General features: G+C 35.9%; 1 protein-coding gene and 1 long non-coding RNA gene across 21 annotated transcripts in view, besides 1 other annotated feature; one reads left to right on the top strand and one right to left on the bottom strand.

Annotated features, from left to right (window-relative positions):
- Positions 1-16,879, bottom strand: part of ZMYM4 (zinc finger MYM-type containing 4) — a 153,350-nt gene that overhangs the window by 47,663 nt on the left and 88,808 nt on the right. For 11 of the 20 annotated variants that reach the window (XR_246305.5, XR_007064889.1, XR_007064890.1 and 8 more), the window contains 5 exons: positions 14,950-15,471; positions 13,141-13,202; positions 12,607-12,777; positions 4,283-4,367; positions 3,769-4,024 (listed from right to left, as the gene is read on the bottom strand). The exons of 2 other annotated variants lie outside the window; for them this stretch is intronic. Coding sequence is in view for 15 of the 18 variants with exons in the window: in NM_005095.3 (NP_005086.2) it covers positions 3,769-4,024; positions 4,283-4,367; positions 12,607-12,777; positions 13,141-13,202; positions 14,950-15,471 (1,096 nt within the window). In the remaining 3 variants the exon portion in view is untranslated. Of the gene's footprint in view, positions 1-3,768; positions 4,025-4,282; positions 4,368-12,129; positions 12,206-12,606; positions 12,778-13,140; positions 13,203-14,618; positions 14,795-14,949; positions 15,472-16,879 lie in introns of those variants that run through there. 7 more of the 20 variants (XM_024450838.2, XM_047434278.1, NM_001350140.2 and 4 more) reach the window with 4 other exon arrangements.
- ZMYM4-AS1 (ZMYM4 antisense RNA 1) lies at positions 8,319-15,574 on the top strand. The gene is made up of 2 exons (NR_046659.1): positions 8,319-8,430; positions 15,228-15,574. It is a non-coding gene; the product is annotated as a ZMYM4 antisense RNA 1 (long non-coding RNA).
- Positions 12,262-12,763: an enhancer, noted in NCBI's record as "NANOG hESC enhancer chr1:35827234-35827735 (GRCh37/hg19 assembly coordinates)". NCBI's record gives its function as "activates a minimal SCP1, AML or CMV promoter by ChIP-STARR-seq in primed H9 embryonic stem cells {active_cell/tissue: H9 hESC(primed)}" and the evidence as "EXISTENCE:reporter gene assay evidence [ECO:0000049][PMID:30033119]".

Here is a 16,879-nt window from a genome sequence, read left to right as displayed (position 1 = left end):
GAAAAAAAACTATAAAAATTAAAATCTTCAAACTGATTTAAGTCTTACAATCCCATGATGAGTGCCGGGCACGGTGGCTCATGCCTGTAATCCCAGCACTTTGGGAGGCCAAGGCGGGTGGGTCATCTGAGGTCGGGAGTTTGAGACCAGCCTGACCAACATGGAGAAACCCCATCTCTACTAAAAATACAAAAAAATTAGCTGGGCATAGTGGTGCATGCCTGTAATCCCAGCTACTCGGGAGGCTGAGGCAAGAGAATCACTTGAACCCCGGAGGTGGAGGTTGCAGTGAGCCAAGATCGTGCCATTGCACTCCAGCCTGGGCAACAAGAGCAAAACTCTTGTCTCAAAAAAAAAAAAAAAAAAAAAAAAAAAAGAATCCCATGATGAACATACTGGAATACAGAAATTAGAGACAGGATATATACCTAAGTACTCATTTTTAAAAGTACATTTTACAATTCAAGCAGTATAAAGTCTCTTTTTACTAAATAATTTTACTACATAAGTTATAACTATAAAGTAGTAAGTATAGCTTTTTTAGAAGTTAGGATCATTGGGCTGGGCGCGGTGGCTCACACCTGTAATCCTAGCACTTTGGGAGATTGAGGCGGGTGGATCACAAGGTCAGGAGATCGAGACCAACCTGGCTAACACAGTGAAACTCTGCCTCTACTAAACATATAAAAAATTAGCCGTGCAGGGCCGGGCGCGGTGGCTCACGCCTGTAATCCCAGCACTTTGGGAGGCTGAGGTGGGTGGATCAGGAGGTCAGGAGTTTGAGACCAGCCTGACCAACATGGTGAAACGCCATCTCTACTGAAAATACAAAAAAAAAAAAAAAAAAAAAATTAGCTGTGCATGGTGGCGGATGCCTGTAGTCCCAGCTACTCAGGAGGCTGAGGCAGGAGAATGGCGTTAACCTGGGAGGCGGAGCTTGCAGTGAGCCGAGACTGCGCCACTGCACTCCAGCCTGGGCGACAGAGCGGCGAGACTCGGTCTCAAAAAAAAAAAAGAAAAAAAAAAAGTTAAGATCATTAATTCTCCCATTCAACAAATACTTATTAAGCATTTACTGTGCTGGGTATATTGAAGTAGATACACAAAGTTCCTACCCTTGTGGGGGGTGTGGGTGTGTGTGTATATATATATATATGCATATATATATATTTATTTATACTGACATAAATTATATGTATTTACTATGTGTACAACATAATTTTCTTTCTTTTTTTTTGAGATAGAGTCTCACTCTGTCATCCAGGCTGGAGTGCATTGGTGCAATCTTGGCTCACTGCAACCTCTACCTCCCAGGGTCAAGTGTTTCTTGTGCCTCAGCCATCTGAGTAGCTGGGATTATGGGCATGTGCCACCAGGCCCAGCTAATTTTTGTATTTTTACCAGAGATGGAGGTTTCACCATGTTGGCCAGGCTGGTCTTGAACTCCTGGCCTCTAGTGATCCACCTGCCTTAGCCTCCCAAAGTGCTGGGATTACCGGCGCAAGCCACCACGCCCAGCCACAACATCATATTTTAAAGAACAGGCTGAGTATCCCTAATCCAGAAATCCAAAATGCTCCCAGTATCTGAAACTTTTTGAGCGCCAACATGATGTTTAAAGGAAATGCTCATTGGAGCATTAAATTTCAGATTTTCAGATTAGAAATGCTCAATCAGTTAGTAGATATAATGCAAATATCCCAAAACCTTTTTAAAAATCCAAAATCTGAAACACCTCTGGTCCCAAGCATTGAAGGTAAGAGACACTCAACCTGTGTGTGTGTGTCTGTGTGTGTATACACATACACACTGTGCGATGCCTAAATCTAGCTAATTAATATATGCTTTCCTTGGTTACCATTTTTGTGGTGAGAACATTTTATATCTATTCTCACCATTTTTCAAGAATACAATGTATCATTAACTACAGTCACCATATTGTACAATACATCTTCAATTCTTTCTAACTAAAAAATTTTGTATCCTTTAACCAACATTCCCTGACACCTTTCCCAACTACTTCCTCATGGTTTATGTTCTAATGAAATAAATTTTTAAAGAAATAAGCCAAAATCTATCACTCAAAATAGCCCTGGTATAATTATTATTCTAACAATGACAACATAACTCAAAGATATATTTTTTAAATTCCCTTTTATAAATTCCTTCACAAAAGGCATTGAAAGTCACAAAAGCACCAATCTTATATAATCAAATTTCATTTTTGAACAAAAATTGATATAAAATATCTTAATCTGCACTTTAATCAATATACATGGTTCTAAATGGCTTTTAGCCACATGTGAACAGTAAATAAGCACTCAGGAGATAAAAATTTGATAGCACAGAAGCTATTCAAAAGAATGTGTAATTAGCTTGAAAGATAGTCCCAAAACAAAAAGTTGCAGAAGTTTCTATTGTTCTTTTAAATAGCGGCAATTTTACAATAAAAATAGAGATTCCAAAGAAAACTGAAGTCTAATCTACATTTGTATATATAAATTACAGTATATATTTAAGCTGCCTCAAATATAACCAAAATTTACCCTGTCGGTCATTTCAAAAAAATGAAGCATAAACGATGTGCATATCAGTAACTTCCAGAAAAACTTCTAACCATATTTAAATTTCTTTTAAACATCTCTTATCTAACTGAACTAGGAGGAGGAGTATCTTTTTCTCCTCTCCGGGCAGACAAAGTGCAGCATCTGTGTGAGGAACTATAAACATTACCGCCTAAAGTAATAAATGAATCATGGTTTGAGTAGCCTGATAGAGTGTTTCAGAACAAGAGCATTATTCCTCTTTTTCTGACTTAAACTGTTTCTAACAATCATAAAATTAGTCAAAGTTATTGTGTATTCCTCAAATATATCAGGATGACCTTATTACAGTCATAAGATCATACCCCTTTTTTGTTATTAAACATTCCAATGGACACAATGTGGTAGTTCAGAGACATTGAGAAAATAAAAATATAGGCCAAGCGCGGTAGCTCACACCTGTAATCCCAGCACTTTGGGAGGCTGAGGCAGGCAGATCACGAGGTCAGGAGATCGAGACCATCCTGGCTAACACAGAGAAAGCCCGTCTCTACTAAAACATAGAAAAAATTAGCTGGGCATGGTGGCGGGCACCTGTAGTCCCAGCTACTCAGGAGGCCGAGGCAGGAGAATGGCATGAACCCGGGAGGCGGAGCTTGCAGTGAGCCGAGATCACACCACTGCACTCCAGCCTGGGCAACAGAGCGAGACTCCGTCTCAAAATAAATAAATAAATAAATGTGCGCACACACACACACACACACACACACACACACACACACACACACACTGGAAGCCATTTAAGGTTAAGAAGAAAAGTATTAAAGAAATTCAAATTACATAACAGGAAATATAACTTAAAATATTTGTTGGATTTAAATATCTATTGCCTATAGTTATAAAATACTGCTGTAATACAATATCCCTAAATGTGCACTTTTTGTTATATCAGGCACTTCAACTAACAAGGATGGGAGAGCTGGTTTCAAAAACAATACATAAAAGTAACATTATTGAAAGCTAAAAAACAAGCTGAGCACCTAGCACCTGGAAGACTGAAAAGCAACAACTGAAAGCAGACAGAAAATAATGTGGTATTTCTCAAAAAAAAAAAAAAAAAAAAAAGGAATAAATGTAGAATATCAAATGTAATACATGACCTAAGAACAAAGTATGTTAAGAGAAAGGAAAGAAACAAAAAAGATAATTTAGAATTCTGCTATACTTTGAGCAACTTGAACAAGTTTTCTTGGTGAGAGGAGGCGGTGGGCGGGCAGGTGGAACTGTATATCCAGTGAGGCACAGTGTGGAGCAGAATAGCTGAGTAGACCCTTTCCTCTGATAAGCAGTTTGCCCCTTCTGGAGGATTTTTTTACAACCAGAACAGGAAACTCGAACAGCTGTGGCTGGAACTGAAGGAAGCATTTTATTCATGCCAGATGACGCCAGTGAGGGCTGAAAGCCAGTAGTCAACTGTGGAGCTTTAAAAAAAAAAAAAAAAAAAAAAAAAAAAATTGAAAGAAAAAAATGTTTTACTTTTTACCATGAATTTTAAGTAGACATTCTTTCTTTCTCTTCTAGAACTAGTCTTGAAACCCAACAGTAATTATGCAATATACAATTTAAAGGCATCCTAAGTGGGTAGAGAGAGCTGCCTGGTTTATTAATACAAGCAGAATTTCTTCTCATTCATATTGGTCAGAACATACACAATCCATTTATTCAGGTCTGTTTCTTACCAAGAGGGCTGCCACTGACTGAAAACACAGCACTAATTTTCAGTTCCCCCTCTTGAGTTTTTTGCTGTTGGCCATGACTATACTCCTTTAAAGAAGAAAAAAATAAATAAATACATAGAGAAAAGAATAAATACCTAAAGACATCCAGACATTCAAGACATTTTACTACCACTATATAGAGGTGGAAAATGTTTAAAACATTAGTAAGAAATAATAAAGTACAAAACAGCAAGCAAACTATAATTAAATATAGGTAAAATATGTATATGCTAGGAGTGTAAGACAGAAAAAAATGAAAGTATCTACTTAGTCTGTGACACTAAGTATTTATTATTTTTGAAAAATCTTTAATTTTATTTTTATTAAAGTATTATAAGTTACTGTTTATTATAAAAGTAATACACAATCACTATAGAAAATTTAGATAAATAAAAATAAGAAAAAATTTAATCATATTTTAATCACCCCAAAACAATCACTGTTATTCTTTGGGTATATTTCTTTCCAGTCTTTTCCCCTCCTCAATGCAGAGGTTTTATTTCTTAATAAGTTGTAATTATATTAAATATACCATTCTTATAAACTGATTTTTTGCTCATTTGAATCATTTGAACGTTTGTATATTAGTATATATTACTCCAAAATTACTTCTAATGGCTAAATATACCAGTGTTTCTAAAACTGAAGTCCAAGAATCCCTGAGGTCTACATAGTCTGAAAATTCTAAAAGAATGCTGTTTAAATTTTGTTTTTATTTCAATGATTTCTATGTGCATATACACGTATTTTAAGTCATGAGTAACCACCATATAACTGAGTTCTACTACAACCTTTCAGTGCTGTTTGCTTTTTACAATTATACAATTGCATTCTAAAATCATTACATAATAGATTTAACTTTTATTTTAATATATTGTTTATCATATTGAAACATGCAAAAACTCTGCAAGATCACTTATTCTTGGAATTCTGGAGTATCTCAGATATATCTCCTTTTTTTGTGATGGGGAGTTGTCGGCACATTACTCAAGTTTGAAAATACAAATATGTATTATTTAAGAAACATAACACATTACACAGAGATGTGACTGGGATGAGGTGAGTGAGGCACATGCCTCAGGTACAAAATTAAGGGGGCACCAAAAACCTCAGTAATGAAGATAATATTTTAACACAGTATTTTTAAAAATCAAATTTATGCAAGGTCCATGAAGAGCAAAATATCAAATTTTTAAATAAATACCAAATCAGTATTACTGATTTTTTCCTTCTGCCTCCGGCTCCAATGGCACCAAGATTTTATAACCACAACACAATGTTGGTCCATTTAATGTTTCCGCATATTCAGTACAATCAGTAATGCCACGATGAATATCTCTGTGAATATTCATACTCCCATATTTAGGATTATCTCCTAAGAAAAGAATTCCTGAAGTGGAACTACTAGGTAAAAAGGTACATAGTAAAGGTTCTTGATACATAATGACAGGTTGTTTTCCTCCCCAAAAAATGTTCTTAATTATATTTACTCCAGTAATTTATGAAAAAAACACCATTTAAAAGTATTTTCCCACTTTGTTTCAATTTGCAGCTATTTTTAATGTTCATTTACAAAAAGTACATTATAATGGAACACTATTAACTCTCAGTAGCATTTGTTATCAACATTTCCTCAATATGTACGTTAAGTTAAAATTTTATATATTTGTTTCCATTTTTGTGCCAAAAAAATCTGACAGTCTTTACCTTTGTGATTTCTTCTATCTCTTACAAAGTTTTATTTCCACATTAAAAGAATAAGAAAATAGTTTCATTTTTATAATAATACATTCATTTACTCCAGGGATCAGCAAACTTTATCTGTAAGGGACCAGATAGCAAATATTTTTGACTTTGCAGGCCATATGGTCTCTGTCCCAACTACTCAACTCTGCTCTGGTGGAGCAAAAGCACCCACATAATATGTAAATGAATGAATGTGGCAATGTTCAAATAAAACTTTATTTATGAAAGCAGTGGGTGGAAAAACAAAAAAAATGGGTGGGGGGGGGGCGCTGGATTTGGCCCACCACTGATAATTTGCCAACCCCTGCCTTAGTCCATTTGGAATTTACTCATTTTGATGTATAATGAACATTTTTCTTTTTTGAGACAGAGTTTCACTCTGTCACCCAGGCTAGCTCAACCTCGGCTCACTGCAACCTCTGCCTCCTGCGTTCAAGTGATTCTCCTGCCTCAGCCTCCCCAGTAGCTGAGATTACAGGTGCCTGCCACCACACCCGGCTAATTTTTGTATTTTTAGTAGAGATGGGGTTTCAACATGTTGGCCAGGCTGGTCTTGAACTCCTGACCTCAAGTATCTACCCGCCTCAACCTCCCAAAGTGCTGGGATTACAGGCATAAGCCACCATGCCCACCTCTTTATCTTTCTCTAAATAGTGAATTCCTTTCATTTGCCATTGATAAATATATCAAATTCTTAAAAAATAATGTCTGTTTTTGGGCTATCTCTTCTATATCATTTTCAGTCTGACTAATCTTATGATATCATGCTATCCTAACGAAACTAATTGTAGGATACTTATGGCCAGACGTGGTGGCTCACACCTGTAATCCAATCACCTTGGGAGGCCGAGGTGGGTGGATCACCTGAGGTTAGGAGTCTGAGACCAGCCTGGCCAACATGGTGAAACCCTGTCTCTACTAAAATTACAGAAATCAGCGGGGTGTGGTGGTGCACGCCTGTAATCCCAGCTACTCAGGAGGCTGAGGCAGGAGAATCGCTTGAACCCAGGGTGGTGGGAGGGCAGAGGTTGCAGCGAGCCAATATTGCACCATTGCACTCCAGCCTGAGCAACAAGAGTGAAACTCTGTCTTTTAAAAAAAAAAAAAATTAATTAATTGTATGATGTTCAACCATTTAACAGCATTTGCCACATTCAACCTCTCCATCCATTTTTTAGAATATATGTGTAATAAGTGTGTGTATGTGCATGCCTATTATTCTTCTACAAAACTTCATAACCTAACCATTGATATTTTCATCAGAATTGCATCAAATCTAAATCTCAATTTTTTTTTTTTTTTTTGAGATGGAGTTTCACTCTTATCCCACAAGCTGGGGCACGATGGTGCGATCTTGGCTCACTGCAACCTCCACCTCCCAGGCTCGAGTGATCCTCCTGTCTCAGTCTCCCGAGTAGCTGTGATTACAGGCATGCACCACCACGCCCGGCTAATTTCTGTAATTTTTGTATTTTTTAGTAGAGACAGGGTTTCACCATGTTGGCCAGGCTGGTCTTGAACTCCTGACCTCAAGTGATTCGCCCCCCGCTTGGCCTCCCAAAGTGTTAGGATTACAGGCGTGAGCCACCGCACCTGGCCTTAAATCTTAATTTAAAAATAACTGACATCTACATATTTCTTACATTTAAAAAGATGGTCTCTTCATTATTTCAAGTTGTATTTGATATAAGTACTTTTTAGTTGCTGCTGGGAATAGTGTATCTTTTTCATTATATCATCTAACTGGGAAGTTTATTTATAGAAGTATTGGTATAATTCAACTAGGTACTCCACTAAATTTTCATGAATTCTATTAATTCTTTCATAAATATTCTTAATAGCAAGTGATAATTTTATTTCCCTTTTTCCATTATTTTTTCTTCTAATTTCTTTAACATGGATTGAAGTAAAAATCCAACAAGAGTTAAATAATAACGATGACATCCGCAACTTGTATTCTTTTAGTAATATTAACAGAAGATTTCCATCATTTTACTTCAACTTCAATAACTGTTACTGATCTGAAGTAGTAGTTCCTTACTATGATCAAGAAAAAATCTATTCTAAGAAATGTCTGAATTACATGAGATGTCTTTTGGCATCTAATAAAGTGACTATTACAGATACCCTTATTTGACCTGCTGATGAAATATATGTATTAAAAGATTTTCTAACATCGACTAATCATGACATTCCTTCATTATATAGTGTATTAAAGAAAATTTCCTTAAATATTTTTATTTTAATCTCAGAAAACTCCAGAAACAACCAATACTCATTGGCATACATTAACGGTCTGCAGTCAGCTCTCTTAGTCTCTGTGATGGCTATTGCAAACTTCTGCTGGATTCCTTTAGCCTTGAGTACGTATTATTTATGTAATATAGTAAAATAGTATACATCTTAAGTACTGTTTGTATGGTCCACAATGCCTTCAAGGCACAATCATGTTTGGTTTATGTTTGGATCCTCCCATGATCACTAATTTTACAAGTATTTGATAAACAAATCAATGAGTAGCCAAATACTAATAAATATTTTCTGAGAAGTAAATATCTAATTGGTAACCCAAAAGCTTTCAGAAGCAGAAAAACACATGCCAAAACACAAAAAAATTCCTTTACCAATACCTTTACCTTCTTAGTTTACTACAAATGAAGATCAATATTAATATCCCATGAAAGTATTTTAGAAATGAATAACACAGTTTCTATTGCCAAATTAACTCAATATGGCTAAAAGAGCCCCAACATTTGAATTACTACATTTTCTTTCCAAAACTGTGTGAATGACTATTATGACAATTAGTTCATTTGCTTTCCCATTTTAATTGAGTTCTTTCAATGAGAGACTACACATTAGCTCGTCCTCTATTATTATGAACAAGAAGAAAAAGAAATCATGACTTTAATGTAGTATTTACTGAATGTACAGTTTTTAGACCCTATGGAAAAGGCAAAAGAGGAAAATGAGGTCTCTGGCTCTCTTTAAAGTATCTATTTTGAAACCTTCCCTTGGTATTTTTAAAATTAAACAACTTTTATTTACAGAAAGATTGGTAGACTAAAAAAAAAAAAAAAAAAAAAAAAGACTTTGATTATGACCCCAGATTGGCTCCTTCCTGGCCATGAGGGCTTGAGTAACTAAATCTCTATATCTCTCAGCTCTCTCACCTATAAATGTTAACATCCTCTACTCTGGCCATCTTATACAGGGTTGTTAGGCGAATTAAGCAACACAGTACGTGTAAAAGCATCTGTAACTGTAAAAATACTACAGAAAACATTATAGAAACATGCAATAGAATTAGAATGAAGAAATGAAACTGTGAGACCCAATGACATTATGCCAGTAATAGAGGCAGGAGGACGGACAATGACTGGCAAATCCAGAATATCATAACTGAAGAAATAACCAAGAGCAAATGGGTAGAGGAAGTTAAATACATACACACACATTTCAGCACCTTGTTTATATAGTAAAGTAAAGAAATTAGGACCAAAATGAATTGTGTAAAAAAGAGAATTAGGAAGTGAGCTAAAAGCAAAACTACCTAAATTAAGCACAAAGAAAAGCCAAAGGAAGTTTTGAAAAGGTGCCATAAACTAAAGCTATGATTTTATTGAACCATGAAAGAAGTTACTGGTAACTGATGGTCAAAAGTAAACACTGACCACAACTGTAAAATCTATCAGTATTTTATGAGAGGCTAATAGTACTTTTTTGAGACTAATAATATAATACACTAGAGTTCTCTTTTCCAGTCCATGGGAAATGAATAAAAGTAATAAATTATGCAATTTTGAAAGGCAATACTCTTCTAAAAGAAGGAGGGAAGGTGGAGACGGGTGTGGAAAAGACAAGAAAAAGAAAAGAAGGAAAGAATCACATATCTAGTTTATAACATGAGAGCTGCTCTGGGGGATTTCTAGAAGAATTATCAAAGGTCTGATCCTATAGGACTGGTATTGCTGACAACAAAAAGGACTCCTCAGGGAAAACCTAGCTCTATCCACTCACATACTACAAGTCCCTTATTGTGGGGTCAGGGTAAAGAATGCTTTTGGATCTTATGCCCAGGACCTACTCACATTACTGCTTAATTCTCAAGTCCAATCAATCAGGGAGTAAGCCTTTGGGGAAGTTCTTCCCATAATCATGATGAAACTTCATATTCATATTCAGTATTTGATAACACATTTTATAATTCTGAATAAGTATATAAAAATTTAAGTGTTTCTATCTGTTCCATCCTATTTATATTCTCCAGCCACTGGAACCTCTGATTGTTCTGAAAACAACAATACTAATAACCTTCTCAGTGTTCTCTACCCCTATTGTATTTGGTTTATGCTCTAAGTGCCTTTTTGTCCCAAGGAAGTGTCACATGGTTCAAGTACAAAAGAAAGAGATGATTTTGGTACCCTGCCAGCATGCCCACATTGGGGCAGGAGAAGAGATACAAGATCTGCCCTTCATATAGACATGGCTGTAGTCTTCTGAAGCATATACTGCCACATGAACTTTCCCCAGGTGTTGGGACATCTATTTATCCCTAATTCAGATATCTAAGATCTCCATTACCTGCTTCTATAAACATGCTTTTATTTACCTTCTATTTAAATAGAACAGAAAAATCTATTTATATTCCTTCTACTTTCTTCTTTGTAGCAAGTATACTCATATCCATCCAACTCCTATAGCTTTATCACTACCCTAACACATCCAACTTCCACTGAACGTCATGGAATTCATGCTAACTGAGCATCAATTTGACTCAGTGACTCACATGAATCACCAACCTCTGCAATCTCCTATTCTTCCATCTGCTTACTCTAATACAATGGTTCTCAATAGATCATTTTTTGTTAAAATTGGCAAGGGAGGAGGCTGCTACTGGCATGTAGTAGGTAGAGGCCACAAATGCTTACTAAATGTCCTGCAATGCACAGGACATTTCTTCACAACAAAGAATTATCTGGTCCAAAATGTCAATGCTGTGGAGTTTGAGAAATCCTGTCCAAAAACATCTAAATGAAAAATGCACTTGACCAGGCACGGTGGCTCACGTCTGTAAACCCAACACTTTGGAAGGCCATAGCAGGAGGATCGCTTGAGCACAGAAGTTAGAGACAAGCTTGTGCAACTTACTTTACCAAAAAAAAAGTCTCACTCTGTCATCCAAGCCGGAGGGCAGTGGCACAATCTCAGTTCACTGCAACCTCCACCTCCTGGTTCAAGTGATTCTCCTCCCTCAGCCTCCGAAGTAGCTGGAATTACAGGCACCCGCCACCATGCCTGGCTAATTTTTTGTATTTTTAGTAGAGATGGGATTTCACCAGGTTGGCCAGGGTGGTCTGGAACTCCTGACCTCAAGTGATCTGCTGGCTTCAGCCTGCCAAGTGCTGGGATGACAGGCGTGAGCCATCACGTCTGGCCCCTCTACAAATCTTTTTTTAATTCGCCAGTGTGGTGGTACACGCCTGTGGTCCCAGCTACTCAAGAGGCTGAGCTGGGAGGTTCACTTGAGCCTGGGAGGTTGAGGCTGCAGTGAGCAGTGATTGCACCACTGCATTCCAGCCTGGGCAAGAGAGCAAGACCTTGTCTCAAAAAAAAAAGAGAAAAAACAAAAAGAAAGAAAAGAAAAAGAAAGCACTTCCACAGAAGTCTGACAGTCTCAAACCTTCTAATATAAACAGAAAGATAGGAAAATATAAGCTTCCCCCAGATTAAATGTCATTTCAGAAAAAGAGCCAATTCATACCATCTTTACAAAACACAGATACCCTCAAATAATTGCTGCTATTGCATATTCGTCCCTTGGACCCCTTCTTGCACTTCAAAATGATTGCAGCATCTGATATAACTTTTTTCTTCTATTCCAACAACAGCAACATCATTAACTGCATGGATAGCTTAGCTGACTTCAGGACCTCACAGTTTTAAGATCTCTATGATTTTATCTCCAGAGCAACCTTGAAATAGCAGAGCTCTACCTTCACTCTTATTACTCACAGATCTCAAACTTGGAATCATGTATCATTCATCAAAGCCTCCTTTACCTTCTATCCACTAATCCAATGAACTGGTTCTTCAATCAATTAACCCTTCCAAAGATGATCTGTCCATTAACCCCTCCTGAAAAATATTTAAATCCATATATAGCCTGTACTTCATTAGCATTAACTGCAAAAGGCTTACTATCCTACATAAACTTGATTGCACCACAAACTTATAAACTACCATAAATCTTCAACCATATCTGCTGTATAGTTCTCAAAGCCTTGCGCTAAAATGCATTGCAAAAATCACAGTGGTATTAAGAAACAAAGATGATTAAAAGCCTTAATTACTACTCAGGAAAAGTTTCATATAGCTCGTTAATGCCTTATATGGTAATTCAAATCGCCTCAACCTTCTTTAAGAGTTTCCTTTCACCCTGTCAACAAACTATTTCACTTCTTAAGCACTTCCTCTCTCAAATGAATAATTCAATGTGTGGAACAAAAAGAAGGGGGGAAAAAAGGTGAAATGTTTACTTGAGCATTGTCAGGTTCATCTTTTATTTTGTCTAGTAGTCCCTGCTGTGGTGCCATTGCTTTGTCATACTCATCATCCAAAGGTTCTTCTTTAATTCTAATATTTGATGCAAAGGAATTCCCCAGTTCCGAACCAATGGATTCTTTATTGGCAAATGGGTAGCTGGAATCCTAAAACACAATATAAAGGATTAATAAATATTCAGATTTTAAAATGATTCCTCTTCAGGTTTAACACCCAAAGAAAAGCTCATTGGAAATGAAGAACTCTATGGACATTCATTAGCTTTTGGATCTTATGCCTACGCCTAAAAGTAATTGTGTTATATGTCCAAATACCAAATACAAATAAAGACCCTAAGATTTGAGGCTTTTTAGAATGTCTCCGATGATGACCTTAAACAAATATTAAGCAAATTAAAAAAAAAAAATCAGTGCTCTACCTAATACATTGTTAGAATTTAGAAACTGACATAAAGAAAACTTTGACACTTGTCACAGTTACAGCAATCTACATACACACTGAAAACTTACCCTAAAGTTTGTTTCTGGGGTTTGTGGTAAATGGGTATGTAATGTTTCTTCAACTTGATTAGCTATTGAAAGGAAAAAAAAAACAAACAAACACATGTATATGAATAACAAATCTTACAAAGAGTGACCTAAAAAGCTATCATTTGATAATCACCTCTCTTTTCCAACAAAGATGCTCGTTAGAGTGAACTGGGTCCCAAAAACACCCAAAAGGTATTTTCACTCAAAGTTCTGCACAATCTGGCCCCACCTAGCTTTTAGCCTTACCCTACATTTTTTCCTTGCTCAAACCTAAAAAAAAAAAAAAAAAAATTATTTTTGCTCTGAAAATTGCTTGCATTTGTTCTCCCCCATTTCTACTTATTCTATTCCAAGTCCCCTCTGTCTATCCTAATCTTTATACAGTTTTCCAGACTCAGCTCAGTTAAAAATTCACCTCTCCTCTATAAAACCTTCCCTGTTCACTAAGTTAAAAATCATCTCTCTTCTAAGAATCCCTAAAACACAGTTTCAGTTATTTGAAAGACATCTTTTTGAACTGCCTTATGACAAACTCTTCTACCACTGTCTTTAACTGTAAATTAAATCTTACGCTATTCAGCTGGACATTGGCACTTCTACGGCCTGACTTGTCTTGTCCATTCTACTACTAGACATTATGTTCCTTGAGAAACATGACTCTCATACCCCAAGAAGGGATATTGGAAATATATACTGAATTATAGAGAAAAATATAGTATATCCTTGCACAGACTTGTACATACTCAAAAGCTGTCTTTTTAACAATACTGGTTTGTTCTTTCTACCATACATTTCCTAGCATTGTTAGAAGAAATACAAGGACTGGTATAGAATACTTGCTTTCCTTCACAGCTATTGAACATTTATTGAAGAATTACTATTTTACTACACCAGGTTAGGCCCCAAGAATACAAAGATGAGTAAGATACAATCTGGCCCTCAACTCCTACACTAGTAGGTAAGGTAAAACAAATATAGAACTATAATACTGTGTGATAAGTACTATAAATAATGAGGCATGAAAATGCTGTGGAAATATAGATAAGGAAACCATTCTTGATGTAGAGCAGTTAGAATGATGACAGAGTAGAAGAGGTTTATGAGTTAGGCATTGTTGGATAAGAAGTACTTTCACAAGCAAATATACAGAGAGAAAATGACATGCAGGCAAATGGAATAGCAGGAGGAAAGGAAGGCATAGAAGGAAATATGTGATATATTCAAGAATGTTAACTAAAGCTAAAGTATAGGGTACACTGGGCAAAGAGGCTCAGGAGGAACCTCAAGAAACTTCTAAAACATAAATTAGAAATGTTTGGGTTTTTTTTATTAAAAAAAAACTCCCTTTCAGATAGAGGTGAGAGTTAATAAACAAAAAATTAAATTAAAATTAAAAAAATAAAATAACTCCCTAATTTGGACTAAGTGGTGAGACAGCAGTTTGAATTAGTGCTTACAGCACAAAGAAGTTAAATCCAACTTCAGGTTCCAATGTTCAACCAAAGAAAATGAACAGGTGATTCAAGTATCTTGCCTTTCTCATCAAAACATTGCAACCAGGGGAGGGAGAAATGAGGTTTAGAGCTATTTTCAACCATTTATACCATTACCAAAAGTTACTGGGAGAAATTCAGTCACTCTGCAAAGAACAAGGACAAAAGAAAAATGACAAGCTTACAATGAATTTAACCGTTCATACTTCACTTAACATCAAAAGTAATAAAAGCTATATATTATGATCGGTAATTTTTAATTGTGTTTTATGGTTCTAAGTCCAACAATTATTACCTGCTTTATCAAAAAAACTGCTTTTCAACCTTGAATCCAAATCTTTATGGGGTTTATCCAACCGTTTTTCACGTTCATAAGTTAGGTCTCTATTTTTCTCCTTTCCAGAAAATGTCTCTTTGCTGTTTTCTCTTACTAGACTAAAATCTTTCCGTATTGATTTAAAGACAGAAACCTGATCAAATTGTTTAGGAAAGTCTTTTTTTAACTTATTTTGAATTTGTATTTCATTTTCATTGTCTGATTCATGCTGTGTGACTCTTCTCTCTACTTCCAAGCTATCATCAGTATGAATTGAAGAAACAAGATTGTCCTTTGAACTAAAATCCTGTTCATCCTCATTGTCACTACCAACGACTGGAATTCCTGCAAGATCCCCAGAGTTCAAAAAATAATCATCTTCATCCAGCAATGAATTTTCAGATCCTGTTTGATTCGGCATTCCATAAGACATGCTGTCAAGGGTAGGAGTTAAGTTGTGGTCTATATCTTCAGACATTTCTGTATCCATGATACCACCACCTTAAAAAGTAAAATACTGTTTAGACAAATGATAGTGCTAAAGATGACCACAATGATAAGGTCAGTCTGGTATTTAACCAAATAAATATTTTTTCAAACAAAATACAGATATTACCATAGTATTCATTTAACACTTTGATATAGGTGTGACAGATATAACTATTCCTATCTGACAGTTAAGGAAACAAGGAGCCAAAACTTGAGAAACTACTTTAGGTTAGAAAAGAAAGCTACGTGATATAGAGAAAAGAGCACCAACTTCAGAATCAGACATATCTGTGTTGAAATCAAAGCATGATCCTGAAAATCTATGTAATCCTAAAAAGTAAACTCTCAGAGTCTATCTATACAACAGCATAATACTCACCTTGGAGATAAATTTGTGGTGAGGATTAGTGATAGTATGTACAAAAGACCTACTAACACAATGACTGACAAATAGAAGGGAATATAAAATGGTAATTATAATTATTATGGCGATTATTCAGGGAAAACTGAGATTAGCACTCAGGTCTTTGGTCTGAGTCCCATTTTCTCTGCACTAACACTAATAAACACTGACGGCAGTTAATACTTACACATAAAAATAAATTTTATCCAACCTAGAATAAAAGACTATTTACTGTTTAAAACTACTAATATATACTAATCTCTCCCATTCCAAAACAAAACAAAGCAATGCCCTCATTCATGCCCTAACCCTACAATGCCCTCATTCATCTTCCCTTCACAAACTTGTAGGAAAAAAATTCTACCTAGTTTGCTTCTACTTCATCTCTATCATTAACCCTTTGAGCTTAATACAATCAGCTCCCAACTTTCCACTGGAACTTTTCTCATTAACATCATCAATGATCTCCTAATGGTCAAAGCAAATTGACTTTTTTCAATTCCTAAATGGCATATCCCTCATGGATAAAATTCCTTTGGATTCTTTGGTACTCTTATTTCTTACTTTCCTTAATTGCCTTATAATTTATTTTATACTCTTCTTCTGTTCACATGGCTTCAATGTTAGCTTTTCTGCAAGATTCCTGTTCTCTTTACTTTTACACTCAGACTGAGCTATTTTGTTCACCTCCATAACACTTACCTTTGCTACTGACTTCCTAAGCACTTAAGCTTAGACCTTTCTTATAAGATTTCGGATGTCTATATTCAACTAGCTCCTACACGTTCTCCAACTTAGCATCTCTAAAATCAAAACTCATCATGTTCCCTCCCATTCCAAGCATATGCTTCTTATATTTCCCTCAGATGGTTAACAGATTCACCAAACCAGCAGTTGCTCAAGATTTCCCCCTGGACAAATTCTGTCAACTTTATTACTTATCTCTCTCAAATCCATCTTTTCCACTTAGCACCTAGTTCTAATACTCCACGTCTCCTCCTGGATTCTACAATACCT

The sequence above is a fragment of the Homo sapiens genome, chromosome 1 (genome assembly GCF_000001405.40).
Source record: "Homo sapiens chromosome 1, GRCh38.p14 Primary Assembly".
NCBI lineage: Eukaryota > Metazoa > Chordata > Mammalia > Primates > Hominidae > Homo > Homo sapiens.
The sequence above is the reverse complement of the archived record's forward strand: the minus strand, read 5'-3'. Positions and strand labels throughout refer to the sequence as shown.